The 17,726-nt window shown below is 48.2% G+C and overlaps 1 protein-coding gene across 4 annotated transcripts in view, besides 1 other annotated feature; it reads right to left on the minus strand.

Annotated features, from left to right (window-relative positions):
- Positions 1,245-2,140: an enhancer, noted in NCBI's record as "NANOG-H3K27ac-H3K4me1 hESC enhancer chr6:107382561-107383456 (GRCh37/hg19 assembly coordinates)". NCBI's record gives its function as "activates a minimal SCP1, AML or CMV promoter by ChIP-STARR-seq in naive and primed H9 embryonic stem cells {active_cell/tissue: H9 hESC(naive and primed)}" and the evidence as "EXISTENCE:reporter gene assay evidence [ECO:0000049][PMID:30033119]".
- BEND3 (BEN domain containing 3) overlaps positions 5,070-17,726 on the minus strand; it is a 50,334-nt gene continuing 37,677 nt past the window's right edge. For all 4 annotated transcript variants that reach the window (NM_001367314.1, XM_011536005.4, XM_005267080.5 and 1 more), the window contains one exon: positions 5,070-10,838. In NM_001367314.1, the coding sequence (NP_001354243.1) occupies positions 8,592-10,838 (2,247 nt within the window). In that variant the 3' untranslated portion in view covers positions 5,070-8,591. The remainder of the gene's footprint in view (positions 10,839-17,726) is intronic.

Below are 17,726 nucleotides of genomic sequence, written 5' to 3' on the forward strand. Positions count from 1 at the left end.
CGATTCTCCTGCCTCTGCCTCCCAAGTAGCTGAGATTAAGGCGCCTGCAACCATGCCTAGCTAATTTTTGTATTTTTTAGTAGAGACGGGGTTTCACCATGTTGGCCAGGCTGGTCTTGAACTCCTGACCTCAGGTGATCCGCCCGTCTCGGCCTCCCAAAGTGCTGGGATTACAGGCATGAGCTACCATGCCTGGCCAACTTCTTAACTACCAACTCACGAGGTTGGGACTTGTTAGAATTATGGATCACTGCCCAGCAGATAGCTGGTCCTCCAAACGTATTTGCTGAATGAATCAACTGCCTTAGAGGCAGAGATATTCTTACTGCATTCCTTAGTCTATTTTCTGTGGCTTTGAAAGGTTTCCTGGTTTTGGGGGGGGGGGTTTACTTTTTGTTTTTTGAGACAGAGTTTCGCTCTTGTGGCCCAGTCTGGAGTGCAATGGCGCAATCTCGGCTCACTGCAACCTCCAACTCCCAGGTTCAAGCGATTCTCCTGCCTCAGCCTCCCAAGTAGCTGGAATTACAGGCACCTACCACCATGCCCAGCTAATTTTTTGTATTTTTAGTAGAGATGAGGGTTCACTATGTTGGCCAGGCTGGTCTCGAACTCCTGACCTCAGGTAATCCACCTGCCTCAGCCTCCCAAAGTGCTGGGATTGCAGGCGTGAGCCCCTGCACCCGGCCGGTTTCCTGGGTTATACTCTCTCACCAGGGCGATCCAGAAGCCCAGAAATAGTGGACAGTCAGCAAAACCCCAAGTTAAATCACAGGAACCACTAGGCAGAGAGACAGAGAAATTGATTTACTTGGCACAGCTACATAAGTGGCAGCAGAGAGTTGAAGAGCACAAACTTTGGAGTCAGCCTGGCCTTCGTTAGAAGCCCCAGCTCTGCCAGCTATTTGACCTTGGCCAAGATATTTAACTCTGGAAGCATCCATTTCCCCATCTATAAAATGGGTTTCTGTAAGGATTAAATGAAATGGCATATATCAAGTTCCCAGCAACATCCCTGACCCAATACAGGTGCTCAAAAATGGGAGCTATTATTAGAAACAGAACTCTGATTTCAGGACCCGTGGCCACTTCTGAATCCACAAGAGTCACACTGTAGGAGCTCCTGGAAGGACAGGCTGTAGCGTTACACGCTCTCAACCTCTATTAGGAACACAGTTCACCATCAGGAATACAAAGACTGTTTAGAAGAACAAATGAATTCTTAATCCCCAAAATCAACAGACAGCCTTCCCTGTGAAGAAACGTTCTGTCAAGTGCTGTATGTGGCCAGTGCCCATAAGCCCTGATGGTGAAGCATTAGTAAACCGGCCTCTTCCCACCGGCCTGAAAGCTAAGATTTAGTTTCCTAAGCTAAAGATTTAGTTAAAGCAGCAGTCAGTTTTATTTGAATACAACAGGAAACCACAGATTTCAACTCAGATCTGTTGCTAATACCCAGGAAAATGCTAACCTTTCAGTTTCTCTACCACACACAGCACATTTTGGGAAGATACCTATAGTGCCTTGGTCCTCCCCTGCGGTTCCAGGACAAGCAGCGCCAGCATCACCTGAGAACTTGTTAGACATGCAAATTCTTGGGCCCCACCCCAGACCCTCTGCATCAGAATCTCTGCGGGTGGTTCACGGCGATCTGTTTTAACTTGTTCCTTGGTGATTCTGATGCAGGTAAACTCTTGAGACCCACTGCAGCAGTGGATGCAGACAGAATCCCACCCAAACCCCTTTACCAGAGCACCCACGCCCTGGCTGCTGAGGGCTGACTGCTAACCACCACAGCGGCACCTCTGGAGCCTTGTCCTGGCCAGAGGGACAGGGACACTACCCCTTTCCCAGGGAAGACCTCGGACAACAACCCACCAGCAGCCCCTTTGCCTCAACCAGAACTAATTCTGCCATACAATTCACATTGCAGGGCTTCCTCATGGAGGAGAGTGTGGCTAGACTGCATTGGAGACCACAATCTTGGTTCTCGCCTTCCCCGGTTCTCTTCCTTTCCTGAGTCCTGTCTCCTGACAGCACGCCCTCAATTAATGGCCTAAGAATCTCAGTCTCTGCCTCTGCTCCTAGGGAACCTGATCTACGGCAGTTACTTTCACATTCTTAAAAAAAAAAAAAGTTCACAATTGCTATAATTATTTAGAATTAGCTTGATTCTATTATTTTATTTTATTTATTTAGAGACAGTCTCACTCTGTCACCCAGGCTGGAGTGCAGTGGCTTGATCTCAGTTCACTGCAACTTCTGTCTCCTGGGTTCAAGCAATTCTCCTGACTCAGCCTCCTCAGTTGCTGGGATTACAGGTGCACGCCACCATGCCCAGATAAGTTTTTTGTGTTTGTTTCATTTTTTGAGAAAAGATCTCACTCTGTCGCCCAGGCTGGAGTGCAGTGGCGCCATTTCGGCTCACTGCAACCTCTGCCTCCCGGGTTCGAACGATTCTCCTGCCTCAGCTTCCCGAGTAGCTGGGATTACGGGCATGCGCCACCATGCCCAGCTAATTTTTGTATTTTTAGTAGAGGTGGGGTTTTACCATGTTGGCCAAGCTGGTCTCAACTCCTGACCTCAGGTGATCCACCCACTTTGGCCCCCTAAAGTGCTGGGATTACAAGAGTGAGCCACCGCGCCCACCCTAATTCTATTATTTACATTCATTAGCTCCCAAGGCTCTGTCATTGAAGCTTAATTCTAAAACAAGCACTCCTATATCTAAGATCAGACACACTGGGGCTTAGAGGATGGGAGTGATAGACACCACTGCTGACTTGCAATTGTTTTAGGATCTGAGTCTTGTGTATTGTGGCTTGGGTATGATGGAAATCAGAGGCCAACTTGGGCTCAAATCCTGGCACCGCCAATTTCCAGTTGTGTGAACTTGAGCAAGAAACCAACTTCTCTCCTTACCACAAAACTGAGTTAATAACAGTGACCACAGCAATGAGTTTTTATGAGAAGCAAATGAGATAATGTAGACACCATTTGCGTCCCTAGCTTTCTTACCTGTTAACAAGGCATAATTATGGTACTTACCTCACAAGGCTTTTGAAAGGATAACACGTTGCCCAGGTTCCATTCTTAGCAGTGTCTGGCACATACAATATACTCAAGGAATGTTGGTGCCATCCCAGTCAGAAGCAATGCTTGTTCTTTCCTTTCTCCACCACTGGCCAGATATTCCAAATTTTTTTTTTCTTTTTTTGAGATGGAGTCTCACTCTGTCGCCCAGGCTGGAGTGCAGTGGTGTGATCTCGGCTCACTGCAACATCCACCTCCCAGGTGCAAGCAGTTCTCCTGCCTCAGCCTCCTAAGTAGCTGGGACCACAGGTGCTCACAACCACACCCAGCCAATTTTGGTATTTTCAGTAGAGACGGGGTTTTACCATGCTGGCCAGGATGGCATCGAACTCCTGACCTCAAGTGATCCTCCCGCCTCGGCCTCCCAAAGTGCTGAGATTACAGGTGTGAGCCACCACGCCGGCCCAGATATTCCAGACTTATCTGAAAGCTCCTTAGAGTCCACTGCATTTCACCATTCCAATGATCATGATAATCTGGTGTCGAGTTATTATTTCTGAGAACTAGATCTTACAAGTATACTCTCACTGAAATACTCTGTGAATGTTCTTTTTGGAAGAAGACAAAGATACCCACAGCCACAAGAGTCTCAAAGAATTTAGCTTTTCCTCACTTCTTGCTTAAACTGGCTAGTGGATTTAGCATTTGGAGGTTCAGGTCCAGCACCCAACCAAGGCACACCTGCTGAGAAGGTTTACAGCACAGATGTGCTGGCTGTATAGATTTCAAGGCTATCAAATAAGCAAATACTCACTGTAGTAAGTGTTTCAATCACGAGCCACCAACTACTTTATATCTTCTGATCCCTGGGCCAAGGAAGTTTCTCTGACATCTTGAGATAGAATTTTTACTCTATATGTTATATATATATAAATATATTACATCTAATGTATAATATTATATATATTTAAAAATATATAAATATATATATTTTTTTCCTTGAGACAGAGTTTCTGTTGCCCAGGCTGGAGTACAGTGGCATGATCTCGGCTCACTGCAACTTTGCCTCCCACGTCCAAGCGATTCTCCCACCTCAGCCTCCCGAGTAGCTGAGATTACAGGCATGCACCACCATGCCTGGCTAATTTTTATATTTTTAGTAGAGATGGGGTTTCACCATGTTGGCCAGGCTGGTCTCAAACTCCTGACTTCAGGTGATCCACCCACCTTGGCCTCCCAAAGTGTTAGGATTACAGGTGTTAGCCAACGCACCTGGCCTAATTATTACTATAAAATATTAAGTTTAATGATTTATAATTAGCCAAAGAGAAGAGAAGGTGAGGGAAAACATCCCTTTTTACAAATAATAATACATGAGGCCGGGCACAGTGGCTCACACCAGTAATCCCAATACTTTTGGGGGTTGAGGTGGGAGGATTACTTGAGGCCAGTGGTTTGAAACCAGCCTGGGTAACATGGTGAGGTCACATCTCTACAATAATAAAACTAGCCAGGCATGGTAGTGTGGGCCTGTAGTCCCAGCTACTTAGGAGTCTGTGGCAGGAAGATCACTTGAGCCCAGGAAGTCGAGGCTGCAGTGAGCCATGATTATACCACTGCACTCTAGCAGGGTTGGGGCGGCGGGAAACTAAAACCCATTTGATCCAAAGTGAAAAAAAAAAAGGCGGTTAAATGAAAATGAAACTCTGCTGGCTTTGCAGGACTGGCCTGGCACCTGACCAGGAAAGGTTAAAAAAGGTCAAACAAGCCTCCCACTACATGGCCAGGAAGTGGTTTGTGGAGAAATGGTTTGGAGGATTTATCTGGCAATTTCTCATTCATTCAGCTGTGGCCAAACTGAAATCCTATGAGCTGTACCCCTGACACGTAGAGTATGGAAGCCCCAGAAGCTGAAATCCCCCGGAATATTCACGTTCTTCCCTGGGAGGTGGGTGAGGAGGCCACGCACAAAGACAAATAGACCAAGACATATTCTGAGAGACCAGTGCTCTAAGAAAATAACATGTTACGAGACCATGTTTTTCTATTTTTATAACATTTTATATAACTCATAAAACAGTGTTTGTATAAAAATTCACACAAAGTTGCTAGAGAGCATACAATTTCCAAAAATGTCCTGGGTTTTTGTTACATTCAGTTTCCTAAGGATGCACTCCAATCTATGGTAAAATGCAGACATGATGCGAGATTTCATTATCTTTGGTAAAACTATTCTCATTATTTTGTCTCCTCACAGTATTAAGTCTGATATCCACTTTGTGCAGGGTCTGCTATTACTAGGATGTCAGAAAAACATTAAGGCTGGATCTACGAGAGGCAAGTATTTCCCAACAGCAGTAATAGCCCCTTGGCCCTCACCCCCACTTCATGTATCTATACAGTCGATCTACACAGCCAGGCGGGGTGCAAGCTCACGACCTCCACTCGGGAGTCTCGAGATCCCCTCTTGACTGGGAAAGAAGCAAACATTTGTGGGGAACGTTGGAAACGGAGGCCATCTCTAAATGAACCCAGTGGTCATGCTGTGGTGTGGTCAGACCAGCAACTTTTACCAATTAAATAGCCAATCTATTCACCACTAAGTAGATCCCATTGGTTGGTTGGTTGATGATTGCTGCTGATGTGGTTCCCCACTCCCCACAAACATAAAAGGAAAGGAAGGTTTGGAGCCAACACCGAAAGGGGAGGGGCACGCTAGCGCAAATGACACCAGACACGACTTTATTCCCTGTCAAACATTTGTTGTCCTGTAGACACAGCCAAGGTGAACTGAAGGGGGATGCGAACACTCAGTACATTCGTGACTATCTTCATACATTCTTTAAAAACTTACAGAGAAATCAATGAAGACTACCACCTACTGTGACTTACTAGTTCATTCAACATCAAAACGTGTCTGTGCTAATCTTTTAGTCCTTGGGATACAAGGCCAAAAAAAAAAAAAAAAAAATCCAAAAAACAAACAACTAAAAACCAAAGAATTTAGATGTGGGGGAAGGAAAGCGACTGCCAACAGGTTTCATGGAACACATTAAATTTTGAAAAAATAAGTATTTTGTACTTCTATTGCTTCATGTAAAAAATTTAAAATAAAAAAATGCCCACTGGAGCCACCTGTATGGATGGAGAAGTGAGGACACCATACAGACAGGGCAAGGACCTGCAGGCGTTTCCTGACGACAGTCCAGAGATGGTGAGAGTTCCCACGTGTGTCCACTTCTCTTCACAGAAAGGGACTGTAAGATTCTGGGGGAAGATGCCCTACACATGTAAGGTATTAAGAAAATCACTGAAATACGGTTTCCAAAAATTGAACATGCTCTGGGTTACAAAGAGACATATTTAATTCCTAGAACCTGTTGATTTCTCTAACAGGGGTAGATGGGAGTTTCAAAAAAATTATTAATAAATGATTGTGCTTCTAAAGTTGCAGGGTCAACATTCCACCCTCTAGAAAGCAGGGCAATTCATGGCTTGGAGTCCTCGTTTACATCCTAGAAACCAGAACAAATTCCATGGGACCTCCCGCCTCCAGCCCCCAACAACCAGCGGTGGGAAGGGGGAGGTGGTGGGAGAGGGCCACAGCTGTCTTTGGGTAGGGTGCGTGTGTGTGCATGCTGTGTGCATGTGCTGGAGAGACTAAGGCATAGAGAAGGGCCCAAGCGAGGGGGGAAAGTGAGTCTCCTGGCTGCTCCAGTCCCTCCTTTCCAGGCACAAAGAAGTTGAACTTGTTATTCGTGTAGGCCCCCTTCATCTCACTTCAGCTTTTAGTAAGCAGTGCGTGTGTGCATGAGTAGCTGTGTAAGACAGAGAGTCATTCAGTCCCTGTGCCTTTCTAAATCTGTTTGCAGTTTCAACAGAAATAATCTGTAAATGACACTTAGGAGCAAATTTACTAGTTAGATCAGCAACTTAACATTGCTTTTAAAATCCTGTATTTTAAAAAATGCTCCTGGGTACAGGCAAAATTATGTCATACAGCCACTGGAACTGAAGTTCTTATCAGCTGAATGAAGAAAATCCAGATTGTTTCTGTTATCTCTGCATTTTAAAGTAGCAAAATATTAAGCCATCCCACAGGGGTTCTATGACTACCCTGTGTGATTCAATAAATTTTCCAGGACTCTGGTATGACACACTGTTTGCATTCGACTGTTTCCTTTCCCTCTTAAGCATTTGGCCCCCAGAGTTAGGTAGGTAAAAGTATCATTTTAAAGGACTTTACCTGTCAGGGGATTTCCCAGTTGGTGCTCCTGGAGAGCATGCAGCTGGCCTGCAGGAGCCTGACATTCCCAGTCGGGAGGGAACGAAGACATGTGCCCCCCAAGGCAGGGGGTGGCCAGGTATAGGACAGCAGGACCTTCTAGAGAGTCCAAGAGGAAAGTTCTGAGTGGACCCTGGGAAGGGACATGTGTACCCCATCTAAAATGGCCTGTGTCCTTCCAATGCATGGTATCCCCAAGAGGGGCCCAGACCTGGGCCCGCCCTGAGGAATGAGGATGTAGTACTGCCTGGAGTAGCTAACACTGAGGTCTGGGGAAGTCACCACAAAGCTCCCGGAACCTGGATTTTGTACAAATACACACACGGAAAAGTAAACAGTTCATGGTGAGCTCAAAGAGGCCCACCCTTAAATCTAACAAGAAGCCAAAAGCCCCTGCACTGTTTTCCAAGGAAACATGTCCACTCCCTCCAACCAGCAACCATGTATGGAGAAGGAATGGGGGCAGCGGAAGGACACGGCTCAGATGGAGACACTGCGAACGTGTTTCCACGGCTGTCTACATTCATATCATCATCATCCAGTGTTCTCGCCTAAAGAGTGACACAACATTCTACCAACGCGCCTGAAGGACAGGCCAAGCTGAACGGAAGCCTTCCCTGGCACCAGAGCAGAAGGGAAAACTTGCATGTGGTCGTAAAGGACTTCGCACTATTCCATCCCCTCTACTGCCATCCAAGGGGCATCTTGACTCTTCCAAAATCAGATGTAAAAAACAAGGTCAGTAAAATCAGTATCCATGCCACCTGAAGCTATGATTAGCCACTGTGCACGAACATGGCACTTTTAAAGAGATTTTTTTCTAAGTAAAATGGCCCCCAAAGAGCCCAATGATTTTTTTTAAGGGTTTCTTTTTAATTAAAAAAAAATGGGTCAAAATGGAAGATGTAAAATATGGGAAGAGGGGCAAGAGAGTTGCTGGGTTTGCATTATAAGCTGTGAGGGGCTGGGGAGGGCACAACCAGGGAGAGAGGACCCCTAACCTCTGGTCCCTGCCCTCACAGCTTGCTCTCCCCACACTCAGGCTGCCCCGCCGGGGCACATAGGACAGAAGTTGTAAGTACAAGAGACCAAACTCAAGGCTTCTTTCTTGCGGTTGGGTGGGTGTTTACGTGTGCAAATGTAGTAAGCCACTCCCCACGGACATAAGGTGCCTGTCTGTGGATGCCATAGGCGTGCTCCCAAGTATTGCTCAGTCCCAAGGGTGCCCATCGCTCAGCCTCTGGTGACCCCGAATCTCTGGGCAGGTCACGGGCCTTCACTTCTCCACTTTCTTTGCTTTCTTGAGGATGTCGCATTTTTTCCTGTTGGGGCGGCGGCACCTCTCATCGATGCTGGGGATACATTCGTAGTGCCACACCTCCTCCATCTTCTCCACCGGGTAGACGGCTTCCACGTAGTGGCGGATGAGCCGCAGCCGCGTGGGGTCCAGTTGCTTCTTGTTGCAAGCCCCGGAATGGTTGTACTGCAGCCGGAGGTTCTCGGCGGTGAAGAGTTCGGGAAACAGGCGGACGAGGAGCCGGGCGGCAAAGTTGCCCACGGAGAGGCTCTGCTGCACGATCTCACGCACCTCCTTGTCAGACAGCAGGTAGGGAGAAGGCACCGGGAAGTCAGGCGAGGGGACCACCAGCTCGTCCAAGGGGATCTTGCAAAAGTCCTTGCTGCTCCTCTCGGGGGGCAGTGGGGGCCCCTCAAACTCCTCCCGGAACCTCTCGGGGTTGATTGCATAGCTGGTCAAGTCTCTGCACTCAGGGCCCGGCACGTGGACCTTGCGCTGCTGCTGGTAGGAGCGCCTTTGCTCCGTGTCCCGGCGCCGGCAGCGCTCATCCAGTTTGCCCACGAACTCCAGGGTCCAGACGCGGTCGTTTTTGGCGCGTGGGTAGAGCAGCTGCACGTAGTGGCGGATGAGCTTGATGCGGGAGGGGTCCAGCTGCTTCTTGCCCAGGGAGCCGCTGCAGTTGTACTGCTTGCGCAGGTTCTCGTGCGTGAAGAGCTCGGGGAACAGGTGCACCAGCAGGCGCGAGGCGAAGTTGCCGATGGACAGGCTGCTCTCGTAGATGCTGCGTAGCTGCTCCTTGCTGAGCAGGCAGTCGGCACCGGGCACCTCGAAGTCAGGCTGGGGGATCTCTAACTTGTCGAAGTCGATGGGCACCAGCCAGATCTTCTTGGAGCGGCGACCCGGCCGCTCGCCCTCGAAGCTGTCCTCCACCTTGACCACTGAGATGTCGTCGGGCAGACTGGAGGAGTCGTAGCAGTCATCACGCGGGGGGTCGCCTTCACTGCCCGCGTCCAGCCCCAGGCCCTCGAGCTCGTCGTTGATGCGCTGGGCACACTGCTGCAGCCAGGCCTCCTCCTCCTGCATGTCAGGGAAGTAGATCTCCGTGTAGTTGCGGATGATCTGCAGCCGCTGCGGGTCCAGCTCCTGCTTTCCACCGTCCCCGTAGCAGCTGTACTGTTCACCCAGCTTGCGGTGGTCGAAGAGCTCGGGGAAGAGCCGGTGGAGGAGGAAGACGGCAAACTCGCCTGGTGAGGAGGCTTCGTCCAGGAACTCAGTGAGGTCCTGCGTGTCCACCACGTGGTCTGAGGCGATGGTGCTGCTCCGGTCAAGAGACAGGGCCTCCTCCTGGTCTTTGTTGTCCAGGAAGTGGCCGGGGTCCACCTGCTCTGCCTCAAAGAAGCTGGCGACCTGGCCGCTGGGCTGGCTGTCCTCCATTTCCCGCTGGGCCCAGAAGCGGCTGAAGAAGTCGTTCAGCTGGGGCAGGCACTCGGCCTGCCACACAGCCGTGTCCTTCACCGAGGGGTAGTAGACCTCCACATAGTTGCGGATGAGCTGCAGGTGCAGCGACTCCAGCTTGCGCTTGGCCGCAAAGCCACAGGCACTGCAGCCCCGGGAGAAGTCCACGTCGCTGAAGAGCTCGGGGAAGAGCTGCACCAGCAAGCGGCAGGCCAGGTCCCCCCCTGACAGGCTCTGGTCCACGATCTGCTTGAGCTCTGCGGCTGTGAGCTGGTACTCAGGGGGCGGCTGGAATTTGGCCACCATCTCAGTGGGGCTCACCTGCTTCTTGATGCGGCTCACCTCAAGGGAGAGCAGGTCCACCTTGCTGTGCAGCTGGGACATGTTGGACGTGAGGGTGTTCAGCATGTAGAACATCTTCTGGATCAGGAAGTAGATGTTGGGGTCGTTGTCAGTGCCTGCCCCGGTGCTGCCACAGTCCCGCTTCTGTGGCTCATTCAGGAGCCGCAGTGACGAGGGGCTGTTGCTGGCGTTTGCCTTCTCAAAGAGCTCGTACACGTTTAGCAGGTCCCCCGAGGGAGGATTCTTCTTCTCCATGATCTTGTGCGAGATGCCATACAGAGGCTTCTTGTAGGAAGGGGTGGTGGCATCGTTGCAGGGCTCCTCCTCTCCAGGCCACACATTGCCCAGGCTCCTGCCCCTGCCGGCCTGCTCACCATTGCCTTGGCAGGGCGAGCTGTTCTCACGGTTCCGCATGCCTGCTAGGAGAGCCTGCAAAACAAAAATCATTTCCCAGAGTGTTAGGTGGGTGCTGTGGTTTATGACACTAAACAAGGGTCTGTGTAGCACACAGAGGCCGAGGTCAACCTTGGGAGCATGTAAGAAACTGATTCCTCACCCTGAATCACTCTGTCATCCAAGGATGCACCACTGATACAAACCTGCATCCCCACCACCCCAAACCTGCTGCTCTCCCCATTCCCTGAGAAAAGACTCAGGCTGGGCCCAGGGAGGCTTTGCGCTCTCACAGGGCACCAGCAGTGGACTTCCTTTCCGTCAGAGGGCTGACACTGATGCTGGCAATACTGGGCAAGAACTCTGCAAGAAACAGGAGGAAGAGCATAGGAAGGCAACGGGCTTGTGCAGCTGCCGGCCACGGGCAGGTCACCCCATGGACCCGTGCCTTCGTCTGCTCTCAGGAAGGGACAGAGATTCCTACCTATGGTAGCTCCCAAAGGCAGCAGTGTGTCCTTTTAGCCTGCAGCCTTTGGGAGAGCAGGCGTCCCTTTTCGGGAAGGCTCATCTGGGATGCATGGTCGGGGCACCTGAGAACTGGGCTGTGGAGAGCGGCTGTCTGATGCCAACTCCACCACTGCCTGAAATCACATCTTAGACCAGAAAAAGCCGGCCCAGAACTTTCTGGCCTGTGCAACTGTGAGACAGTAGAAACAACCCCCCGTTTCTGAAAAATCCACAAGTATATAAACTATGTTATATTCATACAATGGAATATTACTCAGCAATAAGATATTATTGATACAGTACACAAAGTACTCATGATAAATCTCAAAATAAATAACAAAAAAGAGGTCGTAGTGTATGATTCCATTTGTGTATGTACAATTCTAGAAAACGCAAGCTTGCCTATAGTGACAGAATGCAGATAGTCATTGCCTAGGGATGGCAGGGAGAATTCGATGGGACACAGAGAATGAAATGGAGAACGTCAGTGGGTGACAGATGTTTATCATCATGACTGTGGCTGTGGGTTCACTGGTAGACACGTGTCAAAACGTATCAAATTGTATACCTTAAATATGTATCCTTCTTTGAGTTTCAGCCATAACCTAATAAGCCTGTTTTTGACAAATGTTGAATTCGACCCAGATACTTATGTAAATGTATATTTGAGTTTTAGGAAAGCAGATGAGCTAGTCAGTGAGCGCTGGTGGGTGTCGGGGGAGCAGGGAGCCTTTGCTCCCACTGACAGGCATGTGCCTCGGGCAACTGGGAATGGACAAGAACAAACGGCATCCTGGGGTGCTTCTCTCCACACTTGGGAAGAGTACAGGTGGCTGGGACTGGCCTAGCCCAGCGCTTCTTAAGCTCTAGTGTACACACTGAATCACCTGGGGTCTTGCTGGAATGCAGAGTGTGAACCCTGGGCCTGCATCTCTAATAAGCTCCTGGGTGCTGTGGCTGCTGTCTATCCTCTCTGAGTAGCCAGGGCTTGGCAGTCAGTGTTTGCTCTCAGTTTATCTCATCCAGGCAGATCAGGGTTATTTGAAAGTTTTCAGGTAACTAATGCCAGCACAAAACAGTGCATGAGGTGTTTTTCTCTGCAGCCTCAGCCAACGTAGGGAAAAGAGACAACCTCAGAAGCGAGGCTTCGTACAGCAAGTGAGCTATATGAGGCTGAGAATAGGCAGATCCAGGGGGAATAGAAACCAAGAGCCCAAATAAACAGAAAACTTTCATCATTCTGAACCTTCCATGTGTTCTTTTTCATTTAAATTAATGAACGGCTGGGCGTGGTGGCTCACGCCTGTAATCCCAGCACTTTGGGAGGCCAAGATGGGTGGATCTCCTGAGCTCAGAAGTTCCGCCAGCCTGGGGAACATGGCGAAACACTGTCTCTACTAAAAAAATACAAAAAAAATTAGCCTGGCACAGTAGTGTGCACCTGTAGTCCCAGCTACTCAGGAGGCTGAAGTAGGAGGATAACTTGAGCCTGGGAGATGGAGGCTGCAGTGAGCTAAGATCTTGCCACTGCACCCCAGCCTGGGTGACAGAGTGAGACCCCATCTCAATAATAATTAATAAATTACTTCCTAGACTCTCTCTTTTGGATAATAGAATAATCTGACTCATATTAGAGAAATGTTAATTCTTCTCTTGTGCCCCCATGAGGACAACCATGCAAAAGAAAAACTACTCCCTTAGTGACCTTATAAAGGGACTCGTAAGTGCATTAGTTATCACAGAGCTGGCCAATACTTCCTTCAGGGTTTGTATGTGTATGTATATATATATATATATATATATATATATATATATATATATATATATATATATATATATATATGTATGTGAGCAAATGGTCAGTGGCAACTGGCCCTTGTGGACCCCACTCCCCACCCCTCCCCTCTACAGCACTCACAGGAGCAGAGGACCAAGGACATACCAGAGTGGAGGCAGCCTGTCAGGGGTGGCCAGCCACCTGCCCCACTCCCTCTGGGGTCTCCTTGCCAAGCTGTCCCCATCCTGTCAAACTGCATGATGGTTGTGCGATGGGACCACGTTGTTCCTGAGTCTATCCCCAGTGCCTAGCAAAGTGCCCAGGGTACAGAAGAGGTCAATGAATTTCTGTCAACCACACGTGAATAAAGCAGGGCAAAGTGTTCCACCATTCTCAAATACATGCTTAAGAAAAGTGAGGCCAGGTGCAGTGGCTCACACCTGTAATCCCAGTATTTTGGGAGGCTGAGGCAGGGGATCTCAAGCCCAGGAGTTCAAGACCAGCCTGGGCAACATGGTGAAACCCCACCTCTACAAAAATAAGCTGGGAGTGGTGGTGTGTGCCTGTAGTCTCAGCTACTCGGGAGGCTGAGGTAGGAGGATTGCTTCAGCCTGGGAGATTGAGGCTTCGTAAGCTGAGATCACACCACTGCACTCCAGCCTGGGCAACAGAGCAAGACCCTGTCTCAGAAAGAAAAAGAAAAGGAGAAAAAAAAGAAAAGGAGCTGTTCTGATAAGAGCACTGGCATGAAGGTGTGGCTAAGAACTCAGCTCAATCAGCAAGCATTCTGTTTGTGACCTTGTAAGCCTCACCTTCCTTTACTCAGGGTAAATCATGCTACCTGTCCCACAGGGTGGTTGTGAGGATTTAAGGAGACAGTGCACACACAGCACTGAGTCTATCTGAATCACACTAAGTGCTTAATAAATATTTATGGCCGGGTGCGGTGGCTCATGCCTGTAATCCCAGCACTTTGGGAGGCCGAGGCGGGTGGATCACTTGAGGTCAGGAGTTCGAAACTAGCCTGGCCAACACGGTGAAACCCCATCTCTACTAAAAATACAAAATTAGTTGGGTGTGGTGGCGCGTGCTTGTAATCCCAGCTACTCGGGAGGCTGAGGCAGGAGAACTGCTTGAACCTGGGAGGCGGAGGTTGCAGTGAGCCAAGATCGTGCCACTGCACTCTGGCCTGGGCAACAGAGTGAGACTCTGTCTCAAAAATAAATACATAAAAATTTATTATTACAATATGATTTATTATTACGTAATGCTATTCCCAAGCCATGGCAGAGGTAGTTCTGTAGGGGACTTTTATTAGGGGAGTTGTAATGACACTCTCAAGTACACTGAGAAGGACTTTCCCACAGTGCCTCAGGGTAAGTCACTCATGGAAGGCACTTCTTAGAGGTCTGTTTGTCCTAAAGGCTGGGAATTTAAGCCCTTTATGTTTCTTCTGTTCTGTTATCTGGCATTATTTCTTTAAAAAAGAAAGAAAAGAAAACATATACACACACCAGAAAGGAAGGGGTGGAGATAGCTGAAAACCTTTACCCCTAATGCAGTGTTTCAAATTGTGGGATAGTAGATGATAACTGATTTTGGTGGATCGTGAAGAGGGAGGAGCCGGGCACGGTGGCTCATGCCTATAATCCCAGCACTTTGGGAGGCTGAGGTGAGTGGATCACGAGGTCAGGAGATTGAGACCATCCTGGCTAACGCAGTGAAACTCCATCTCTACTAAAAATACAAAAAATTAGCTGGGAGTGGTAGCACACGCCTGTAGTCCCAGCTACTCAGGAGGCTAAGGCAGGAGAATCACTTGAACCCGGGAGGCGGAGGTGGCAGTGAGTGCCACTGCACTCCAGCCTGGGCAACAGAGCGTCTCAAAAAAAAAAAAGAAGAGGGAAGGATTAGCCACTAGGGAGGCTTAGGTGGGAGGATCACTTGAGTCTTGGAGGTGGAGGTTGCAGTGAGCTGTGACTGCACCACTGTACCATAGCTTAGGCGACAGAGTGAGACTGTGTCTCAAAAATAAATAAATAAATAAATAAAGAGGGAGGGAAGGAGGAAATAAGAAAGCAAAAAGAATAGAAAATATCAAAGTGTACTGCACAAAGTAAATCAAGTTAAGAGTTTTGTTTCATTACTATGTGTATGTCTAAATACTTATTTACAAATTCATACAGGTAAGTTGTATTGCTCTATAAGGTGATTTATAACTGTGGGTCACTGTGGAAAACCATTGCCCTAACAAATACAAAGTGCCTTACTTGCTAATTCCTGTAGAATGTAAAGTAAAATTTTTGGCAATTTATTCACCATTTAGTTCTATTACACTAAAATAATTTTAGAGGTCCCATGGACTATAAGATTACTATAAGGTTTACCAATAGAGAGAAATTTGGGTTTGGAGTACTAACAATTACAAATCATAACTATATTAGGAGTGATTTTAGAAAAGGAGACTTTGCTTTAAAATAAGGTTCCATTAGCACATTTAAAATAGAATTTCCTAAGAAAGAGATCATCAGAAACGTATATAGCATGCAACAAGAGTACATGTTCTAGAGGGAGACTTGCCCAGGGGAGAAATGAGTACAGGGAAAAGTTTCTGGTGAATTATTTGAATACCAACAACACACACAAGGTTTGACTCCCTCACATTCCTACAGCAGGTGGGAGGCAAGAGTACATTGAAACTGGGAAACCCCCCATAACTCTCAATATTCAGCCTCATTAATACAAATATTTCCATTTCCACCAAGCATGTTAGAAACACTGCCGTCAACAGAAACATTTTTGGCTAGATTGCTTGAATTAAAAATGTTAGTGTCCCAGTAGAGGGCAATATTCACTCCCAGAAACCTTGGGTACACAATTCAACACAGAACACAACACAAGCACTGAAGAGAAACTTCTTAGATACTCCCACACTGGTGTCCTGTCAGCTCAGTGCTCCAATTAATTCCACAAATGCTGCCAAGGCGGCAATGGGCTGGCTGCGTTTGTGGCTGATGATAAAATCTCGGCTCAGCTGTCTAGGAGTATCAAGAAATCTTTAAATCTGTGCTACTTGGCACTGGGTAGGACTGGCTGACACATTCCCAATTCTCTGAGGCTCGTCTTCCAACCATATGGGAACTCTGCTGTACAGCTCAGGCTCTGCAATGCCAGCGTCTAGCCCGGATCTTGATCAGGGCGTTTCATTCAGCCACCAGCACCCGTAGAACCCAGAGAGAATGCCCAAATCTCTCAGCTGGAGAATCTGACTGAACAAAAAGAAGCTGATGTTGGGTTACAAGTGAGGGGTAAATAGACTATTTAGGGAGACTCCAGGTGTCCATGCCCAGTGACATCCCAGGGAGTGGGACACCCTGGAGATGCTCCAAGTGCTAGACGTCTTCATCGCAACCCCAAATCCAAGAGTGGTCACTGAATTTAGTTCAATGAATGAGTGGCTCAAAAGTGCCCTGAGAGTCAGCACGCTGGAACACTCAGAAAGCAGCATGGCTTGGGGAAGCAGAGAGGCCATGTGAAACAGTGGTCAGTTGGGCTGGCATCTCCCTCCTGGAATCACAGTCGCATGAATGATGCTTATACCACTTTCATTTTCAACATTATTATTTTCATCATCATCATCAAATTTTTTTTTGAGACAGGATCTCACTCTGTTGCCCAGGCTGGAGTGCAGTGATGTGATCTTGGCTCACTGCAACCTTCGCCATCACTCCCCACCCTCCCCAGGCTCAAGTTATCCTCCCACCACAGCCTCCCAAGTAGTTGGGACCACAGGCACACACCACCATGGTCAGCTAATTTTTTTTGTATTTTTAGTAGAGACCCTGTACTTATTTTTCTATCCTGGGTATTAATTAGGGCAGGTCTCCCTCTAGAACATGTACTCTTGTTGCACAGTATATGAATTTCTAATGATCTCTTTCTGCACAAAATCCTATTTTAAATGTGCTCACCATGTTGTCCAGGCTGGCCTCGAACTCTTGAGCTCCAGTAATCGGCCCACCTTGGCTTCCCAAAGTGTTGGAATTACAAGTGTGAGCCACCACATCTGGCCAAAACAATTTTTTTTTAAATTAAATCAGAGACAGGGCTGCACTAAGTTGCCTATGTTCACAGGCGTGACCCCACTACTGATCAGCAGGGGAGTTCTGACCTGCTCTGTTTCTGACCTGAGCCGGTTCACCCCTCCTTAGGCAACCCAGTGGTACCCCTCACTAAGTTCAGCATCAATACGGTGACCTCCCAGGATCAAGCCAGACACAGTCTCTGCTCTCACGGCTCTTACTCTGTGGGTCATCCTTCTGCTGCCAACACTATATGGTAAGGGTGAAGGATGTGCTAAGATGGCCGAAGAAACAAGATTCTGGGGAGATAAAGCAACTATAATGAAGGGAAAAGAGGAAGAACAGAAGACCTAGCAAGATATGAGTGCACCTAAGGCTTCTCATGCATCTTACAAATATCCCAGTATCCCACCAGCATGATGTTTGAGTGCCCAGTTCGGAATCACGCAGGCTTGGTAGTGCTAACTTATCTGAGCCTCATTAAAATGGGAATGTACCTATCTGCGATAGTTGTTGAGAGACTTCTTAAGAATCCTCGGCTCACACCACAGTAACTGA

Source organism: Homo sapiens, chromosome 6, assembly GCF_000001405.40.
Source record: "Homo sapiens chromosome 6, GRCh38.p14 Primary Assembly".
Classification (NCBI taxonomy): domain Eukaryota; kingdom Metazoa; phylum Chordata; class Mammalia; order Primates; family Hominidae; genus Homo; species Homo sapiens.